General features: G+C 38.3%; 1 protein-coding gene across 14 annotated transcripts in view; it reads left to right on the forward strand.

Annotated features, from left to right (window-relative positions):
* ARHGAP28 (Rho GTPase activating protein 28) overlaps window positions 1-20,384 on the forward strand; it is a 186,001-nt gene extending 165,617 nt beyond the window's left edge. For 10 of the 14 annotated variants that reach the window (NM_001366230.1, XM_005258146.3, XM_047437799.1 and 7 more), the window contains 3 exons: window positions 1,170-1,294; window positions 13,628-13,692; window positions 16,728-20,384. In NM_001366230.1, coding sequence (NP_001353159.1) covers window positions 1,170-1,294; window positions 13,628-13,692; window positions 16,728-16,822 — 285 coding nt within the window. In that variant the 3' untranslated portion in view covers window positions 16,823-20,384. Of the gene's footprint in view, window positions 1-1,169; window positions 1,295-3,103; window positions 3,390-13,627; window positions 13,693-16,727 lie in introns of those variants that run through there. The other 4 variants (NM_001410873.1, NM_001366231.1, XM_047437794.1 and 1 more) reach the window with 1 other exon arrangement.
* Window positions 20,385-21,387: the final 1,003 nt, after the last annotated feature.

Consider the following 21,387-nt stretch of genomic DNA (forward strand, 5'->3'; position numbering starts at 1 on the left):
TAATGTTAGGAGAATACTGTAAGAACTGACTCTGTTCTAAAATATTTTGTGTTAGTTCCCTAGGGCTGCCCTAACAAGGTACCACAAATGAGCTGGCATAAAACAATAGACATTTATGATTCTTTCACAGTTCTTGAGGCTGAAAGTCCAAAATCAGGGTGTCAGCAAGCTTGGCGCCTTCTGAATGCTGTGAGAGAAGCACCTGCTTCTTGCCCCTCTCCTCACTTTTGGCGATGCCAGTAATCCTCGGCATTCCTCAGCTGGTCTCAGCCTCCATCTTCACATGGTGTTCTTTCTTGTGTCTCCATGTCTCTTCTCCTCTTACAAGGATGCAAGTCACTTGGATTAAGGGCACTCCCTACTGCAGTTTAAACCTCATATGTAATGGCCTCATCTTAACTAATTACATCTGCAATGACCTATTTCCAAATAAGGTCACGTTTCGAGGTATTGGGGGGTTAGGGCTTCATTTTGTCTTTTGGGGAGACACAGTTCAAACCATAACATATTTATTCTAGGATATCAATAGAACATTGATAGAATGTGACTCTAGGGAGTCCATTTATATAAATCGTGTACATCACCATCCTTTGAGAAGGTACAGATTTAAAACAATTAAGAAACACTATCTTTCCCACAGCCACCTACACTGCCCTGCAGTGTTTTCAGCACACTTTGAGAGGTCCCGTTTCAAGTGCCCATGTGGAATTGAATTTGGACCAGCCATTCATGGCTGCTAACTAAAGAAATAGGGTATTGGAGAAGCCATATTTTCTAACTGACTCTTAAAATTTTCAAAAGGTTGGTCTTCTTAAAATATATTGAAGTACAGAATTATGCTTAAAGCAGGTTCAGTTAGGAATTTGTTCAAGAAATGCATAAATAGAAACATTTGATTTTTGTCATAACCCAGTTTTTCCCCCTTAAGATTTTAAGTCATTATAGCAAGACCTGACCATGTGCAGTGAAAGTAAAAACCCAGGTTAAGTTTAGTCATGAGTGAGTCTCCAGCTGAGAAAGAAAGTAATGTTCCATTCTGGTTAATGTTGATCATAGTGATGTGTTTTCCTAATTCAGAGTAGCACTGATTTTCATATCTCTTAAGTGCATCATTGAGCCGATATTCATCCTAGTTTGACAGACTGTACTGAATTTCTCCTCCTTGGCAGTCTGACGTGCCGGAAGGAGTCATACGGGTCCATGCTCCACTTCTCTCCAAGGTGTCCATGGCCATTCAACTCAACAATCAAACCAAAGCCAAAGACATATTGGCAAAATTTCAATATGAAAACAGGTGAGTCAATGTGAATGAAGGTCTCTGCACAAGAAGGAAAAACCTTTATCAGATGAATAACTTTCTAGGCATTTACAAATTTGACCTTTTGTAAAATATAGAACCTGTTGCTTTAGGGAGTTTACCAGTGGATTACGAGAATAAAAAGAGAATGAAGTTAGTAGATATATGATTGCTAACAACAAAAGTTGTTTTTCAAAGGAATTTCTAGAAATGGGATTCTTAATAGGTATTGTCTATCTTCGTAGCTTCATTTATTCAGTGAGTTTTACCTTTTATTTTATTTTATTTTATTTATTTTTTGAGATGGAGTTTCGCTCTTTTTGCCCAGGCTGGAGTGCAATCGCGCAATCTTGGCTCACTGCACCCTCCGCCTCCTGGGTTCAAGTGATTCTCCTGCCTCAGCCTCCTGGGTAGCTGGGATTACAGGCACGCACCACATGCCTGGCTAATATTTTTGTACTTTTAGTAGAGACGAGGTTTCACCATGTTGGCCAGCCTGGTCTGAAACTCCTGACCTCAGGTGATCCGCCCACCTTGGCCTCCCAAAGTGCTGGGATTACAGGCATGAGCCACTGAGCCCAGCCGAGTTTTACCTTTTATTCGAATGAAAATATAGCAAGTTAGTTTTGTAGATATCTTGATAGTCCTTCAGGAATAACATTTTCCTAGGCTTGCATTGACTTTAACATGCCTGTATCAGATAGACATTATGTAGTTAAGTGGATACCATAGCTGTTACTTTCCTTTAAACATACTAATAATAATTCTTAGAATCAGAATGATACTTACAAAAATTATTTTTGCAAATCTGCCATGATCACCTTAAAGGGGCGCAGATCATGACAATTTTTGTCTGGACATGCTTACTAAAGAATAAACATTTGTCTTCTTGTTTATAAAGGATGAGAAGCACTCATTTATCCATTGTAGAGCATGTATGATTTGCTGTCTCTAGTGAGACTGATGGATGGCCTTAAAATGAAGCATTCCAATCATGTTGAAAAGAAGTAGCCTTGTTGAGCAAAAAAGCCAACTGTAAAAGTTAACATATTGCATGATTCCACTTATATAACATTTTTTAAATTAAATTTTATTGATGGAGACTAGATTAGTTGCCAGAGGTTGGGAGGGATGATTTGGAAGGGAGATGGTTTTGGTCACTAAAGGCCAACATGAAGGACCCTTATGGTGTTGGAACTTGTGGTGCTGGGATCTTGACTGTGGTGATGGATAACTGACCCTCTATAAAATTCTACTGAAATTAATACACACACACACAAATGAGTATAAGTAAAACTTGGAAATCTGAATAAGATAGGTAGGTTGTATCAATATCAGTATCCTGATTGTGACATTATGCTGTAGTTCTGTGAATTGTTACCATTGTGGAAAATGGCAGAATACAAAGAATCTCTCTGTATTATGTCTTAAAACCACATGTGAATCTACAATTATCTCAATAAAAATTTAATTTAAAAGAAAAGTAGCCAGTAAAAGTCATCTATGGTGTGAGGTAAGGACGGTAGTGTTTCTACCATCAGGAGAAAAACTTGAGAGATGGGTGCACCAAAATCTCAGAAATTACCACTAAAGGGTGTAGTGGAAGGTAGGGGGTGGAGGAAGGCATAGTGACCAGGAAGGCATGCTGATGGCCTCAAACGTTTTTTTTCTCCTTTTGGTATTAGATTATATGATGTGTTCACTTTGTGAAAATTCATCAAGTTGTATACTTCTGACTTGTACATTTTATATATAATATATACACATATACACACACACATTAACCCGTTTTCCACTTGCTCCAAGAATACTGCACTGGCAGCGAGCTGCACTTTCCTTCCTAAATGGAAAATGGGTTAAAAAAGAAAGAGAAGAGTCGACAGAGACCAACAGGAGCCCCAAACATGTATTCCTCTTCACTATTGGCCTGGACATCTCCACATAGGCAGTCATATAGAGACTTGAAATATCATTCAAGGGATTTGGGTATCCAGTAGACTTTTAGTTACATATACTACAAAACTGACTTTGTACTCTCAAGTAGACCTTTCGTAGAAAGAAAATGTTTCTAATAAAAATGTATTAGAACTAATGACTGCAGAGAGACTCAAATCTTTTATAACAACTTGTTCAAAAAATCTTAGTAACTCAGGAATGGAAAACCAAACATCATATGTTCTCACTCGTAAGTGGGAGCTAAGCTGTGAGGATGTAAAGGCCTAAGAATGACACCATGGACTTTGGGGAGTCAGGGGCAAAAGGGGGAAGAGGGTGAGGGATAAAAGACTATAAATTGGGTTCAGTGTATACTGCTTGGGAGATGGGTACACCAAAATCTCAGAAATTACCACTACATAATTTACTCATGTAACCAAATACCTGTTCCCAAAAAACCTATGGAAAGAAAAAACTTTTAAAATAATAATAATTACAAAAAAATCTTGCCCTATCCATTCTCTTTACTTGTTAGAACTATGGCCTATTTCAGTTTAAGTGTTGTAAACTGGCCCCAATTTTGCATCTTTCACTAGAGGCTTATTTCTGACTGCCTACTCAGACCCCCGTGTGTTTAAGTTAAAAAAGGAGGGAGAAGCCCCATTCCTTCCAGGTACTCTCCCTTACAACTAGAAAACCCTGGATAGTAACACAACAGAAAGCAGAGAAAGACTCTGAAAGGTGGAAAGAAGAGGCCTTGAGAAATGACACGGTGGTGAGTTCTGGGAGTTTCCTTATCACCTCCCACGTATCCCAGACAGAGCACTGCGGAAACTTCCAACCTGCAACTGACAACAGGCACAGATGAAAAAGAGCTCTAAGGAAAGCCTAGCCAAAGGATTAGGTAAAGAGGTGGCCTAACCACAGAAAACCTTTCTGGCAATATCTGCCCTACTCCAGCCAAACACCAATAGAAAAAACACGCCACCACCCCATGGTTTCGGTGGATCCAAGCAGGGAATGGATCTGCCATCCACCACCTGCCACCTAACACAACCAAGTGGGTGGTCTGATTCCAAACCAGGGTCATGTCTGCAGGGTCCTGCAGTGAGCTAAGTTTTCACCTTCACCCAGCAGCAATGAAACACAGCAGCAGTGAGGCAGTGCAAGGCAGGCCATTTAGCACAAATGTCAGTAAGGCCCTGAGGGAGCTGAGCCTCTTCCCCCAACCACATGAGCAAAACTGAACAAGGCAGGCCAAAGCAGAGGTTCCCTGGTGCCCTTACTAGTACCAGTAAGCCCCAGTGGGGAGCTGAGCCTCCACCTGACACCTGGTGGAAAGGGTTAGGATGTGGGAACAATTGACACTCTGCTTCCTCCCCTCCTCTTTTCTGGTGTCAGTGGGGCCCAGTGAGGAGCTGAGCTTCACCTGCAGCCTGCAGCAACAAGGAAGTGTTAGCTTCTGTTTTCCCCCACCCTGGTGGCAGCAGAGCCCAGGAGGGAGCTGATCTTACACTCCCAATTGGAGACAATGAGGCAGAGCCAGTTGGTGTCCTGCTTTCAAAGGGCCCAGCAAGAAGCTGAACATACTTGCCCACCCAGACCTTATGCTAAACCTCATCAGGAAGACTACATGCCAAAAAATGAAAATTAAATAAGCCCCAGAGTCTCAACATATCATATCCAAAATGTTCACAATACAACCCAAAATCACTCATAAAAGCAAAATCACATGAATGAGAAAAAACAAACCACGAAGTCAACACTAAACTAAATCAAATTTTAGAATTTTCTGACAAGAATTTTATAGCAACTATCACAAAAAGTACCTCCACAAGCAATTGTGAATTCTCCTGAAACAAATGAAAAAGTAGAAAATATCAGCAAAGAAATAGATGTTCTTTAAAAATACAACAAATGGAAATTTACAGAACTGAAAAATGCAAAAACTGAAGTAAAAAACTTGCTGAATGGGCTCAGTAGTAGGGTGAAGATAACAGCGGATAGAATTAGCAAACTTGAGGACATGTCAATAGAGTTTATCGATTATGAACAACAGAGAGGAAATAAACCGGAAAAAAAAAATGAACACAGCCTCAGGGACCTACGGGAGTCTAACAAGTGAGCTAAATATCATACAATCAGCGTCCCAAAAGGAAAGGAAATACAGAGTGAGACTGAAAGAATATTTGAATGAATAATAATGAAATACACCCCCAATTAGGAAAAGGCATCAAACTACATCTTCAAGAAACAGTGAACCCAAATGGGATAAACCAAATCTAAACCAAAATAGTATGATTAAACTTGTAAAAATTAAAGACAAAAATCTTTGAAATATCCAGAGAGAAATGAGGACACCAATTCAAATAATAGCAGATTTCTCTTCGGAAGCCATGAAGGCTGGAAGGAAGTGGCATAACATTTGTCAAGTACTTAAAGGAAAGAACTGTCAACTGTGAATTCTATATTCAGCAAAAATGTCCTTCTGGAAATGAGGGGGAAATAAACATTCTCAGATGAAGGAAAACTAAGAGATTTGTTGCTAAGAAACTGACCCATAAAGGATGACTGAAGGAAGTTCTTAAACAGAAAGGAAATTATAACAAGGCTTAGAACATCAAAAAGGAGAGGAGAACATCAGAATGGGTACAAACAGGGCTATAAACTATCCTACTTCTCATGCATTTTTTAAATCACATTTGATGAGAGAAGCAAAAATTACATCATCTGATACATTGCTCAGTGTATGTAGAGGACACACTTAAGACAATTACATTTTAAAATGGTGGTGCACCCCCACTCCCTAAGTGGTCTATGCAGAGTGACTTCCTTCCAAAAAATAGTGTGTAAAAAGGGAAAAAGCAACTGTACAGCCAAGAAATCTGACCTCAGTTAGGTGATCGGGTTAATATTAACAGTGATGAGTCATGTTGATAGTATGTTGATAGTATCAAGGTACACCCTTGATATGATAAAAAAAAAAAAAAAAACAGCCCTTTATCTCTGTGGTCTTCCTGCCAAGAACACATAATTCCAATCTAAACATGAGAAAAATATTAGAAAAATCCCAATTGAGGAACACTCTACAAAGTGTCTGAGCAGTACTCCTTGAAACCGTTCAGGTCATCAAAACTAAGGCAACTATGATAAATTATCAGAGCAGTCTAAGGAGACCTGACTACTATATTAGTTTCCCAGTGCTGCCATAACAGATTACCACAAATTGGGTAGCTTAAAAGGTGGAAATGTATTCTCTCATAATTCAGGAGTCCAGAAGTCTGAAATAAAGATGTCAGCAGGGTTGATTCCTTCTAAAAGCTCAGCAGGAGAAACTCTGCCATGCCTCCCGCATAACTTTTGGTGGTTGCCAGCAATCTTGGCATTCCATGGCTTGAGACACATCATTTCAATCTCTTCTCCCATCTTCACATCATCTTTACTCATTTTAGGTGCTCCCTAAATCCAGGATGATTTAATCTCACAATCTTTAATTACATCTGCAAATACCCTATTTCCAAATAAGGTCAAATTATGAACTTCAGGGTGGGCATGAATTTTGGGGGACACTGTTCAGCACCGTGCAATTACTAAATGTAATGTGAAATTCTGGATAGGATCCTTGAACAGAAAATGAACATTAGGTTAAAATGAAGATAATCTGAATAAAGTATGGACTTTAGTTAATAATAATGTATCAATATTGGTTCATTAATTGTAACAAATGTACTATATTAATATTAGATATTTATAATGGGGGAATGGTGTAGGGCATATGGGATCTGCCTATACCATTGTCATAGTTTTTCTGTAAATCTAAAAGAGTTCTAAAATTAAATATTTATTTTAAAATTGTTTCTAGGATCCTACCAGTTTTTTTAAAACCACCACTTTTCAATGCTAGAATAATTTCAGAGTAAAATAGGTAAAATTTAGTTATGCTAGAATATCAGGATTATCTTTCTATTTTAAAAATGAAATCTATGCATACATCAGTGGTCCTCCTTTAACTTATGTGATTTTGAATTCAAAGAACTGATAATAAATAGAACTATTACACTCATTTGAATGGCTATCTTAAAAAATAAATAAATAAAAATAACAAGTGCTGGCGAAGATGAGAAGAAATCTTGTGCACCACTGGTGGGAAGTGGGAATGTAAAATGCTACAGCCACTGTAGAAAACAGTATGGTAATTCCTCAAAACATTACAAATAGAGTTACCATATGATCCAACAATTCCACCTGTGGGTACGTGGCCAAAAAATTGAAAGCAGGGGCTCATGGAGACATTTTACTCTCATGTTCACAGCATTATTCACAATAGTTAAAACATGGAAGCATCCCAAGTATTCATCAACAGATGAACGGATAAGCAAAATATGGTATATACATATAATGAAATATGATTCAGCCATAAAAAGGAAAGAAATTCTGACATATGCTACAACATGGATGACTCAAGAACATTATGCTGATGAAATAAGCCAGTCACAAAAGGATAAACACTATGTGACGCCACTTAAGTTATGGTCAGAATCATAGAGACAGAATAGAATGGTGGTTGCTGGGCCAAAGAGGAAGGGGAAAATGGGGAATTATTGTTTAATAGGCGTACAGTTTCAGTTTTACAGATAAAAAGAGTTCTGAAAACAGATGCTGGTTATGCTTGTACAACATTATGAATATATTTAATACCACTAAACTATACACTTAAAAATTGCTAATGTGATACATTTCGTTATATGTATTTTACCATGATAGAAATATAAAAATTTTTAAAGGAATAAATACAATTAATGTTTTAAGTGTGAGGATAAAGAGAACTAATGAAAGTACACATCATTTATTAGTAAAACATCAATACCAGTAAACTGCAATAAGTTACACATGTACTGTAATATCCAGAGAAACCACAAACAAAGCCATACAAAGCAATATACTCAAAAATTCTGTAAATAAAACAAGATAGAATCCAGAAAGATAGGCTGGGCACGATGACTCATGCCTGTAATTCCAGCACTTTGGGAGGCCGAGGCGGGTGGATCATGAGGTCAGGAGTTCGAGATCAGTCTGGCCAACATGGTGAAATGCCGTCTCTACTAAAAATACAAAAATTAGCTGAGCGTGGTGGTGGGCGCCTGTAATCCCAGCTACTCGGAGGCTGAGGCAGAGAACTGCTTGAACCCGGGAGGCGGAGGTTGCAGTGAGCCGAGATCACGCCACTGCACTCCAGTCTGGGTGACAGCAAGACTCCATCTCAAAAAAAAAAAAAAAAAAAGAATCCAGAAAGATAGACCAAATCCTGGGCCATAAAACAAACCTCAACAAATTTAAAATAATTGAAATCATACAAAGCATCTTCTCTGACTATAAAGGTATCAGAAACTAGATATCAGTAACAGAAGGAGAACATGAAAACCTCTAAACACTTTAAAACTAAACCAGATACTTCTAGATAATCTGCAGGTCAAATAGGAAGTCTTAAGCAAAATAAAAAAAATACCTAGAATGAAAGTAAAACTGTAACATATAAAATTATGTGATGGCTGGACACAGTGGCTCACGCCTGTAATCCTAGCACTTTGGGAGACCGAGGCAGGCGGAATACCTGAGGTCAGAAGTTCGAGAGCAGCCTGGCCAACATGGCGAACCCTCATCTCTAGTAAAAATATAAAAATTAGCTGGGCGTGGTGGCGGGCACCTGTAATCTTAGCTACTCAGGTGGCTGAGGCAGGAGAATCGCTTGAACCTGGGAGGCAGAGGTTGCAGTGAGCCGAAACCACACCACTGCACTCCAGCCTGGGTGACAGAGTGAGACTCCGTCTCAAAAATGAATAAATAAATAAAATTTAAAAAATAAAATTATGTGGGATGCAGCTAAAGCTGTGCTGAGAGAAGAATTTATAGCAGTAAATGCTTATGATAGAAATGAAAGATCTCAAATCAACTGTCCAAGTTCCTACCTCTAAAAACTACAAAAATAAGAGCAAAATATACCCGAAGGAACAAATAAATAAAGATAAGCAGAAATAAGTGAAATTAAAAACAGGAAAACGAGAAAGATCAGTGAAACAAAAAGTTGGTTCTTTTAAAAAACAATAAAATTGATAAACTCCTAGAAAGACTAACAAAGATAAAAGGATGACACAAATCAAGAATATCAAAAACAGGATGGGATATCACTAATATAGTACTTCCATTAAAGGGATAAAAAGGATTACTGTAACAACTTTATAGCTAATAAATTCAAAAACTTAGAATGGACCAATTCCTCAAAAGCCACTAATTACCAAAATACAACCAAAATGAAATTGACTAGCTGAATAGTGCTATAGCCATTAAAGAAATTGAATCTATAATATTAAAGTTTTTAAAACCTCTCCAAGCCCAGATGGTTTCACTGGAGAATTCTAGCAAACATTTAAAGAATTAACACTAATCTAGAACAGTCTTTTCTAGAAAATAGAAGAAGGAGGAATGCTCCCTAACTCATTTTATGAAGCTTGTATTAATACCCTGATACCAAAAAAAAGCCATAAAAAAAAACAAACAAAAGCCCTACAGACCAGTATCTCTCATAAATTTAGAATTTAAAAATTATCAGCAAAATAGCTAATCTAACCCAGCATTTATTAAAAGAATCGTACACCATAAACCAACTGGGATTTTTTTTCAGGCATGCAAGGTTGATTTAACATTAAAAAATCAATCAATGTAATTAGCCATATCAACAGGAGAAACCATAGAGTCATTTCAATTGATACAGAAAAAAGCCTTTGACAAAATCCAACACCGAGTCATGATAAAAACTCTCAGAAAACTAGGAAAAGAGGAGAACTTAACTTGATAAAGATTATCTACAAAACCTACAGCTAACATCATCCTTAACAACGAAGGATTGAATGCTTTCCCTCTAAGAGCACGAATAAGAATGCCCACATTCATCAATCTCATTCAACATACTACTGGAATATTAAGTCACTGTAGTAAGGGAAAGAAAAGAAATGGGAGGCATACAAGTTATAAAGGAAGGAATAAAAGTCTATTTGCAGATGACCTAATTATCTACATATAAAATTTCACAAAATAAAAATTTAAAAAGACCTAGAAGTAATAAGTCAGTTCAGTAAGATCACAGGATACAAGATTAACACACAAAAATCAATCACATTGGAACATGTGGAAACCAAATTTAAAACCAAAAGTAAAAACACAATACCCTTTACAGTCACTCTAAAAATAAATACTTAAGTATAAACTTAAGTAAACCTTTACAGGATCTGTACACTGAAAATTACAAAATGCTGGTGAAAGAAATTAAAGAAGACCTAAAGAAATGGAGAAACATATCATTTTCATGGATTGGAAGATAACACAGTAAAGATATCAATTCTCCCCAAATTGATCTATGAGTTTAATGCAATTCCTGTCAAAATTCCAGCATGATACTTTGTAAACATGCACAAGCTTATTCTACAAATATATATGGAAAAGCACAGGCCCTAGAATAACTAAAATATATTGAAAAAGAAAAATAAAGTAGGAGGAATCACTTTACTAGATATTAAGGCTGATTATATAAAAGGTAGAATAATCAAGATAGTATGATATTGGTGGAAGGATAGATACTTAGATCAATGGAATAGAATACAGAACCCAGAAATTGACCTACACAAATAGGCCCATCTGATTTTTAAAAGATTTTTATTGTAAACTATACATAACATAAAAGTATGTTTTAACCATTTCAAAGGGACAGTTCAATAGCACTAAATACATTCACATTGTTGTGCAACCATCACCGTCATTCATACCCAAAATCTTTTTCTCATCCCACACTGAGACTCTATACCCATTCTCCCTGCCTTTAGCCACTGGCAACCATTCTTCTCCTTTCTGTCTCTCTGAATTTGACTATTCCAGCAACTGATTTTGAGAAAACTACAAAAGCAATTTGATGGAGGAAGCCTTTTCAGTAAATGGTGTTGTAGCAATGGACATCCATAGGCAAAAAATAAATAAATAAACCTCGATCTAAACCTCACACCTATTCAAAAATTAACTCGAAATGGATCACAGACTTAAGTGTGTAGTGTAAAACTATAAAACCCTTAGAAAATAATGTAGGAGAAAACATTTATGATCTAAAACTAAAGAGTTCTTAGAGCTTGACATAAAAAATGTGACCCATAAGAAATAAAATTGATAAATTGACCTCACCAAAATGGAAAACTTATACTCTAAAAGACCATGTGAATAGGATGAAAAGACAAACTAAGGACTGGGATGAAATATTTGCAAAACCACATATCCAACAAAGGACTAGTATCTAGAATATATAAATAAAACACTCAAAGTTCAACAGTTAAAAAAACCAAACAATCCAATTTGAAAGTGGGCAAAAGACATGAACAGACACTTTACTAAGGAGATACAGATTACTTTTCACCAAAGAGATAAACAAATGGCAAATATGCCCATGAAAAGATGTTCAACATCGTTGGCCATTATGGAAATGGAAATTAAAACCACAATTGCATATTACTACACACCTGTGAGAATGGCTAAAATAAAAAATAGTGACAACACCAAATACAGGCAAAGATACAGAGAAACGGGATCACTCATTCATTTCTGGTGGGAATGTCAATAGTGCAGTCACTCCATAAAATAGTTTGGCAGTTTCTTAAAAAACTAAATCTCCAACTGCCGTATGACCCAGCACTGACACTCCTGGGCATTTATCCCAAAGAAATGAAGACCATGTTCACACACAAACCTGTTCACAAATGCTGATAGCAGCTTTATTTGTACAGTCAAAAACTGGAAAAAAAAAAAAAAAGCCTAGGTGTCCTTCAACAGGTGAGTGACTACAGAAACTGGCCCATCTATACCATGGAATACTACTCAGCAATAAAAATGCAGCAACTTGGGTAGATCTCTAGGGATTTATGCCAAGTGGGGAAAAAAAGGCAATACAAAAATGTTTCATACTGTGTGTTTCCATTTGTTTAACCTTTGTGAATTGACCAACTTACAGAAATGTAGAATAGGGAAGTGCTGCTGGGGGTGAGGGATGGAGATAGGGTAGGATGGGGAGAAGGAGTGAATGTGGCTATAAAGAGGCAACAGGGGGTGCCTTGTGGGGCTGGAAATGTTCTGCATCTTCCCTGAATGGGTGTCAACATTCTGGTCATGATACTGCACTAGAGTTTTGTGAGATGTTACTATTGAGAGAAATCGGTGTAGGGTGCACAGGATGCACCTGTATTACTTCTTAAAACTACGTGTGAATCTACAGCACCTCAAATGAAAGTTCAATTAAACAAAAAACAACAACAAAAAAAGAGGGCACACTTGCATCTTCCTCACAGTGGAGAGGCCAGGACAATCATTTGAAGTAACCAAGCTGAAAGTCACTCCTTGATGGGGATGGAGGTCAGCGATGGTCATTCAGACTCTTCTAACCCAGCATTCTAGTCTAGGGTGGAAAAATTAAATTGAGCGATAGTTTCCTGTGACTTGCTTTTATTTTATTTTATAGTTTATTTTATTTTGTTTTATTTTATTTTATTTTATTTTATTTTCGAGATGGAGTTTCACTCTGTCGCCCAGGCTGGAGTGCAATGGCACGATCTCCACCCACTGCAACCTCCTCTTCCCGGGTTCAAGCAATTCTCCTGCCTCGGCCTCCTGGGTAGCTGGAACTACAGGCACATGCCACCACGCCCGGCTGATTTTTTGTATTTTTAGTAGAGATGGGATTTTGCCATGTTACCCAGGCTGGTCTCAAACTCCTGACCTCAGATGATCCACCCGCCTCAACCTCCCAAAATGCTAGAATTACAGGCATGAGCCACCGTGTCCGGCCGTGACTTGCTTTTATTATGGGGCAGAGACTTGCAATGAAGTCAGCCTTAGACACCTTGCAAAGCTTGAGGCAAACTGAGAAATGTGACATGGGCTGATAATTCCATTCAATTTTTTGGCAAATGCAGAAATAAAACCTGACTTCTTTTGGATTGAGAGTAATATGGCCAATGACAAGGCAGTACTAAACACGCAGCTGCTCCGTGTCCAGCCTTGATGTGTCAGTAACAGTAACTAACCTGAAATGGAGCAGGCAGCTGTGGCCTGAATGGGCTCTATGTAGTGGAGCACTGCGGCTGCCCATCCTGGTGGGAGCAGTCCCGTCCTCCCTGGGCCTCAGCTTCTTGTCTGTGTCAGACGGAAAAACAATTATTTTTATCATAACTTCAGTCATGATACAGTTTTGTGGGACACATTTCGTCAAGGCAGAATGAATTGTTTGTTGCCTGGTTATTTAACATGCATTTTTACCTCAGATCAGGAAAAAGTACTAAAATTATATTATTTTCTCATTTTTTTCAGTCATGGTTCATCAGAATGTATTAAGATTCAGAACCAAAGGTTATATGAAATTGGAGGAAATATAGGTAAGCATACTGTAATAATTTCTACTGCTAAATTCTCTGATTACTCTAAAAGAAATATGTTGCTATAATCATAAAGGTATGTTTTATGAATTTCTCAGATAAAAACTAAAAATCAGTAGGTTTCTGATATTTTTATCTCATGTGGGAACAGTTGCACAGCTTTTCTAAAATGTTTTCAAAATTTAAATGAGAATATTTTAATGTTGATATGGAGTAGGCTTGGGTCTTTTCTTTTCTTTTCTTTTCTTTGCTTTTCTTTTCTTTTCTTTTCTTTTCTTTTTTTTTTGAGACAGAATCTTGCTCTGTTGCCCAGGTTGGAGTGCAGTGGAGTGATCTTGGCTCACTGCAACCTCCGCCTCCCGGGTTCAAGTGATTCTCCTGCCTCAGCCTCCCTAGTAGCTGGGATTGCAGATGCCCGCCACCACGCCCAGACAATTTTTATATTTTTAGTAGAGACGGGGTTTCACCATGTTGGCCAGGCTGGTCTCGAACTCCTGACCTCAAGTGATCCACCCGCCTCGGCCTCCCAAGGTGCTGGGATTACAGGTGTGAGCCACTGCGCCTGGCTGGCTTCGGTCTTTTCAGTGTGATTTGAAGTTGGAAAGTCTCTCTGGAGACTCTGCAAAACAAAGAGAATACTGTAAGAACTTTCAGAAGCATGACACCATTTTGATTAACTTCCCTATTTTAACTCTCCTCCCAAATTCATTCTTTCTATTTCCCTGGGGGAGCAGGGGAGGAATCAGCAAAACTTCCCCGCTTGGTCTGTGAATATCCTCACAGCCCCATGGGTGCTCCGTGCTCCCACTGAGGGCAGTGCCTCCTCTCACCAGCACCCTCCACTCTCCCACACCATCAGCCTTTCCCTCCCAACTGTAGCATTTCCATCTGCATTTTAAAAATTGGCAATTTCCCTCACCTTTATAAAATTATTTCTTCACCCCCCTTTAAGTCTACTCCCATTTCTCTGTTCCACCTTACAGCAAAAGCTTCTTGAATCAGTGTCTACGCTCCAATTTCTTCCTCCTTGTTATCTCTTGAAGCCACTCCAGGCACACTCTGCCCCTCAGCACTTCACCAGAATCACCCTCTTGTCATGGTCACCAGACAACTCGTCTGTTTTTAGAACTGCCTGAGTTGATCTTTCCCTCCTTTGAAGAACACTTTCTTCACCTGACTTCAAGGATGCCCTAAGCTTCTGACTGTCTTCCCACTTTTCCTAGCTGCGCTGCTGGAGACCCTGTGCCCCTTATTTCTTGTCCTCTCAGCCTTTCAAGGTTGGAGAACGGTAGGGTTCAGTCCTCGGAACTCTCCTGTATTTGCACTTGCCTTCCTTGGCGAGCTCAATCCATCTCACTGCTTTAAATACACCTGTATGTGGATGCCACTGAGATTTCTATCCCACGGGTCCCTTTAAACACTAAACCTGTAAATCCAATCACCTGACAGGGTTGGATCTGGGGCCTCTGCATTTGCTCTGACTTTTCCCCAGGATGCCCTCCCCCCAGACAGCCTCACTTCTCAGTCCCTGGTCTCTGCCAGGTCTTTGCGGATAAATCAGCCTCTCAGCGAGACCCTCCTTCCTCGCACCCTCCCGAACATGCCTTCCATGCTTGGTCTTTCTCTCATGTTCTTATCACCAGTGGACTTACTTGATATCATGTTTGTTTGTTAGTTGCCTTGTGCTGCTCTTAGACATGGCTGTAAACCCAGCCCCTAGAATAGTGCCTGGCGCATTATTAATATGTGGTAAGTGAATGAATCAAGCAACCTAGCACTCACACAGCTCTTGGTAGTTTTGTTTTTTTGTTTTGTTTTGTTTGCTTTGTTTTTTTTTTGAGACGGAGTCTCGCTCTGTCGCCCAGGCTGGAGTGCAGTGGCGCGATCTCGGCTCACTGCAAGCTCCGCCTCCCGGGTTCACGCCATTCTCCTGCCTCAGCCTCCGGAGTAGCTGGGATTACAGGCGCCCATCACCACGCCCGGCTAATTTTGCTAGAGATGGGGTTTCACTGAGTTTGCCAGGATGGTCCCGATCTCCTGACCTTGTGATCCGCCCACCTCGGCCTCCCAAAGTGCTGGGATTACAGGCGTGAGCCACCGCGCTCGGCCAGCTCTTGGTAGTTTTGTTTGAGACTTCAGCATACATTTCAAGCACACTGCACGTAAAGACTTTCGAATACGTTTGCCCCAGGAAATGATCTTTTAGTTGTTACCATTTTGGGATTTCCTGCCCATGGGCTTTACGTCCATAGTAAAGAAACAAAATGACCATTCCTAAAATGAACTTGACTTGAATCTTCTCTAGCTCTGGTCAAGTACCTATCTATAAAACCACTGGAGGACATGTATTAGCATATAAATGATGAGTTTATATGCTAATATACCTGAAACAAGTTCTTGCCATATTTTTCTTTTCTTTTCTTTTCTTTGAGACGGGATCTCACTCTGTCACCCAGGCTGGAGTGCAATGGTGCGATCTTGGCTCACTGCAACCTCAGCCTCCCAGGTTCAAGTGATTCTCCTGCCTCAGCCTCCCCAGTAGCTGGAATTACAGGCGCCTACCACCACACCTGGCTAATTTTTGTATTTTTAGTAGACATGGGGTTTCACCATGTTGTCCAGGCTGGTCTCAAACTCCTAACCTCAAGTGATCCACCTGCCTCAGCCTCCCAAAGTGCTGGAATTACAGGTGTGAGCCACTGCGCCCAGCCCTTGCCATAATTTTCTAATTGATGCCATGAAGCAAGGGAACAATTTGCCTGTGATGGTATGTCTGCTTTCTTCCAAAATTTCACATGAGATTTGTTTGATATACCCATACTTCACAGTCTTAAAGAAAGAAAAAAAAAAGAAAGGAGAGAGGGAGAAGAGGGAAGAAGAGTTTGTTAAGAAACCTTAACATATGTCTACTTACTTTGGCCAAGAAAACTATATTAACCTTATTTGAACCTCACAAACACACACAGACACATATGTGTGCGCACGCACACACACACAAATGTACACTAATTCTCTGATCTTTCTCTTTCTTTTAGGAGAGCATTGCTTGGATCCAGATGCTTATATATTGGATGTATATCGTATAAATCCTCAAGCAGAATGGGTGATTAAACCCCAACAAAGTTCTTAAAATATCCTCGAGAGAGCTGCTATCATGTATTATATGCCAAAAAGATCCTACATTTTGGTAGGGAAAAAACAACACTGTGTTTGACGTATTTGTTCCTACAGCATTCTCAGTATTTCTGGCCCTCAGCAGTGGGCATTGTAAGCATGAACTATGGAAGAGGCGCCGGTTCACCAATTCAACTGAAGCTTTCTCATGACTTTTTTTTTTATAAAAGTAAAGGAAAGATGATGTGGTCCTTCCAGAAGAAAGACCAATCTAGAATATGGAACTCTAATCACTTCTAGTATTTCAACTTCCTAGCAGAAATGAACTTGGCCCTAGACCTAGGGATAAGCAATGTTCTTTATGTAGCCAATGCTACGAAACAAAAGAGGTGAAAGAGACCCTTTTTTATACTTAATGTACATATATTGACTTTTTGAGCAAGAATGCCAGAAATAGCCTTCATTTCTACCCTGCAAAATAATCCAGATCTGCTTTCTAAAATGAATCAGTTTCTAAAGTGAAACATGCAATATTTATGCTCTGACTGACTCCTGAATTGGAAGAGGAAGAACTTCTGTTTACAGAAAACTGTATTGTTATATATGTCAGGCTGTGTATTGTGACTATCAGCATTCTGGTGCAAATGAACTTTTCTCCATCATCGACTGTGGAAAATTGATACTTTTAAAGCATATTCTTCTATGAGCACAGGTCCTCCTAGTGAAGCTTAGTTTGACAAAGGGTGTCATATGCTTTCCTAACCTGATTTGTAGTTAACATTCACAGAGCCTACATTTTCTCATTACGGTTATGATGCTCAGTATCTTTCCAAGTGCCAGGCACGGGCTTCCTTTTCTGATCAAACATACCATTTTTTATATTTCACAACTATAGACAGTCACTTCTGCAGTCCCAATTTAAAAATGCAGAACTGCTTTATCCAAGAATGCTGAAAAATACTGTTCTATCCAGGTTTCCTAAACTATAAAAGCAGATTTTGCTTTTGTTTGTTAATCATAGGCATGGCCGAGCATTGTGGATTAGCCTGAGGCTTAAAATCAGATGCATGTCTGGTAAGATGACCACTGTCTCACTATCAAGAGCCTGCAGAGCCATTTTCCAGACCTGTGATTGCCCAGAACACATAGTCCCCACGTTTCTAATTTGGAGCAAATCTAAAAGGTGCTGAGGGATTGGACAGCTCTGACTTTCCTCGAGACTATGGATATAGTCCTTCTCAGATTAGCTGGAAATGGGGACAGAGTTCTCATTTATCCCAGATATATACATTGGCTTTTTTGGAATCTATAGATTGAGATTTTGATGAATTTATATTGGTTTTAATGAGACCCAAATGACTCTCTCTTAACAATTCAAGCAGTAGACAAAGTTGCTCACAAATACAGAAAACATCTTTTTGTCTACTTCGCAAGTCTCAAAACGTGATAATATTTAAGCCCATTTGTAGAAGAAATCTTGTATATACTATTATTACACCTTGATATCTATACAAAACATCACTTGTATTAAAATATATAGATAACTTTCTGGCATTTAGAATTTTGTTCCATTCATTTAATTTGTTCATCTGAGAATTTTTTTTTTTGCCTGAAAACCCATTAAAAGAAAACGTGCCTTCTGTATAAGTTTATGTTTATTCCTACATTTTATTCATTTTTAATGTATGGGTAATTGGTGGCACATGACTTTACATAATGACTTTCTAGACTCTGAAAAAAATGCTTTTATCATTTTTGCAATTCAGACAAGGGTAAACATTTTACTTTATGTAATTGCCACATCCCAAGATGTAAAACGGCAGTAATTTATGACCACGTATGGAAGAAATTCTTCAAATAGCTACCTTACATTTCTGCGTATATATGAAAACTGAATGATATTTCTCAGTGTATTTCCTTGCATTTGAATGGTTCAATTCTGTTGTGTTTATGTAGAAAATTCACAAATCTGTTCATTTAATTTTTTAATTTGAGAATTTTTATTTCTTTTGACTGAAAACACATTAGAACCTATGAGTAAATTCTGAAGGTTTTAAGATTTACTTCAGCTTGTCACCAGTTTCAAATAAATCCCTAATAGGTAACAAGTAAAATACAAATTCTTGTCTACTTTCATGTGGTTTTAAATGGCAGGGACTTCGCTGAGTCAGTAAGTATAATCACTCTAGTTTATTCAAGGATGTGTGGCAACTTTCAACTTCCATACGTATATATGTATGTATGGAAGGCCATGTCAATACTAGTATCATTGGATATAACTTTGATTCTTAATCAGAGGGCAAATTCATTAGAGAAGAATTTTTAGTAGATACACAGACTAATATTTGTGTGGAGGTTCTTTTGACCAATTTTATTCCTAAGAATAAACAAACCCCTACAGTTAAAATGCAAAGATGCCTGTCATCTAAGTATTGAAAGAATTTTTGCCTTATCAAGAGTTGTTTTTTAAAAATTTAATAAATTCATAAAAAAGACTCATATCTTTGCAAACAAAAGAAGGGCAGATACTGGGCTTCTACATGCTATCCTTAAGAGCTTCTCCCCCTCACCCATTCCTAGTGCTCTTGGTATACACTTGGGAAAATAATGTCCTCCAGGAGAAAGTGTTAGAGGGAACTAACATTTTAGGAATGCTTATTCAGAAAAAAATCCTAGAGTTGATTCATTGTTTTCCTCCATCCTGCAAAAGAAGATCCCTTTGTTAAGCAGCTCACTTGGAAATATGATTCTTGGAGTCAATGATCTCTAAACAAACTGGATTATCAACTATTTACAACGTCTATACAGTATAAACTACCTCACTTGCCTTTCTTGGGAAAAAAAAAATGAATGGACTTTAACAATTGTTGTTACAAACTGTGCCTGAATCTTATTATTTAAATCACTTCAGTTAGCTTTCAGTGTATGTTTAATAATATACATTTAATGATGAAAAATATTTTCAGCAAAGCTTTAAAACCAGAAATACTGTGTAACTGTGATCTATGTGGTATACTCTGAGAGAATTCTGTGTCCTGCTCATTGTCTTGAGTTTCTAACCATGTGCAGATGCAAGCGTTCAGGAGTAGGAATTAATGTCCATCTTTTCTTTCAGGCATTTTCATCTGCTGTCCACGTATTTCACTTGACTGAAAGCTCATATGAGTTAAAATGTCCCTTCTTCCTAGCGAGCATATTTCAACTGTTCTTCATAAATGTTTATGTGCCTTAAAAGACTTTATGTTAAAGGATTAAATAGTTTCTCTGACAGGCAGTTTTTAACTGTTTTCCACAAATAAAAATAATATGTCATGGGATTAAAATGTTTGTTTTCAAGCATTTTTAACAGTTTTACACACTTACATACACCTTAATTAAAAATTTTTTTCTGTCAGACATTTACCAACTATTTTCTAAAACTAATTTGACAAATCATGACACTAGAAAACGCCAATGTTTTATGTCTTTGCCCATCTCAAAAGCTAATATTGATTCTTCTGTTCCATCAGCTTTCATTGTTAAGTAGAATATGTATGTTGCATTTTATCCATAAGAAATAAAGAGAAAAAAACTAAAAACATTGTATGAGAATTCTTCTACTTCACTATTCCAAGGGCACAGTGATGCTAGGGATGATTTTGCCTTAAGGAAATATTTGGCAATACCTGGAAACCGATGTTGTTTCCAAATGTTCTTGTTTTTGAAGAGTAACTTATCAGTTTTTCAGCACCGGGGCGTGAGAGGATGCTGCCAGCCTCTGATGGGTGAGAAGCCAGGGATGCTGCTGATCCCGCTCCAGTGCACAGGACAGCCCTGCAACATAGAATTATCCAGCCTGGGCCTGGCGCGGTGGCTCACACCTGTAATCCAGCACTTAGGGAGGGCGAGGTGGGCAGATCACCTGAGGTCAGGAGTTTGAGACCAGCCTGGCCAACATGGTGAAACCTCATCTATAGTAAAAATACAAAAATTAGCCAGGCACAGTGGCATTTGCCTGTAATCCCAGCTACTTGGGAGGCTGAGGCAGGAGAATCACTTGAACCCAGGAGGCGGAGGTTGCAGTGTGCCAAGGTGGCACCACTGTACTCTAGCCTGGAAGAAAGAGCAAGACTCTGTCAAAAAAAAAAAAAAAGAAGAATTATTCAGTAGTGCCAAGATTGAATAAACGTGCCCTGAGATAACAAATAAGGTAAGAGTGTCTGTTTTTCCTATTTTTATTTAACACTGTACAGGAGATCCTATCTAGCGCTGTAAGTCAAGAAAAAGAAAAGGCAAAAAGTGTTGAAAGGAAGAAGTATGAAACTGTTTAATTTGCAGATGATATGACTATATGATTATGTAAAGAAAGCCATAAGTAATCAATAGTTACAATTACTAGAAGTAATAAGTACATTTAGCAGCTTCACAAGGCACAAGGTCAATCACAAAAATCAGTTGTGTTCCATGTATTAGCTATAAAGACAGCTGGGAAAGAAAATTATAAAAGCAATACCACTTACAATAGCATCAACAAATATAAAATATAGAAAAATAAATTTAGAGCAAGATAAGCAGGGCCTAATTACTGAAAACTACAAACAT

The sequence above is a fragment of the Homo sapiens genome, chromosome 18, assembly GCF_000001405.40.
Source record: "Homo sapiens chromosome 18, GRCh38.p14 Primary Assembly".
Taxonomy (NCBI): Eukaryota; Metazoa; Chordata; class Mammalia; order Primates; family Hominidae; genus Homo; species Homo sapiens.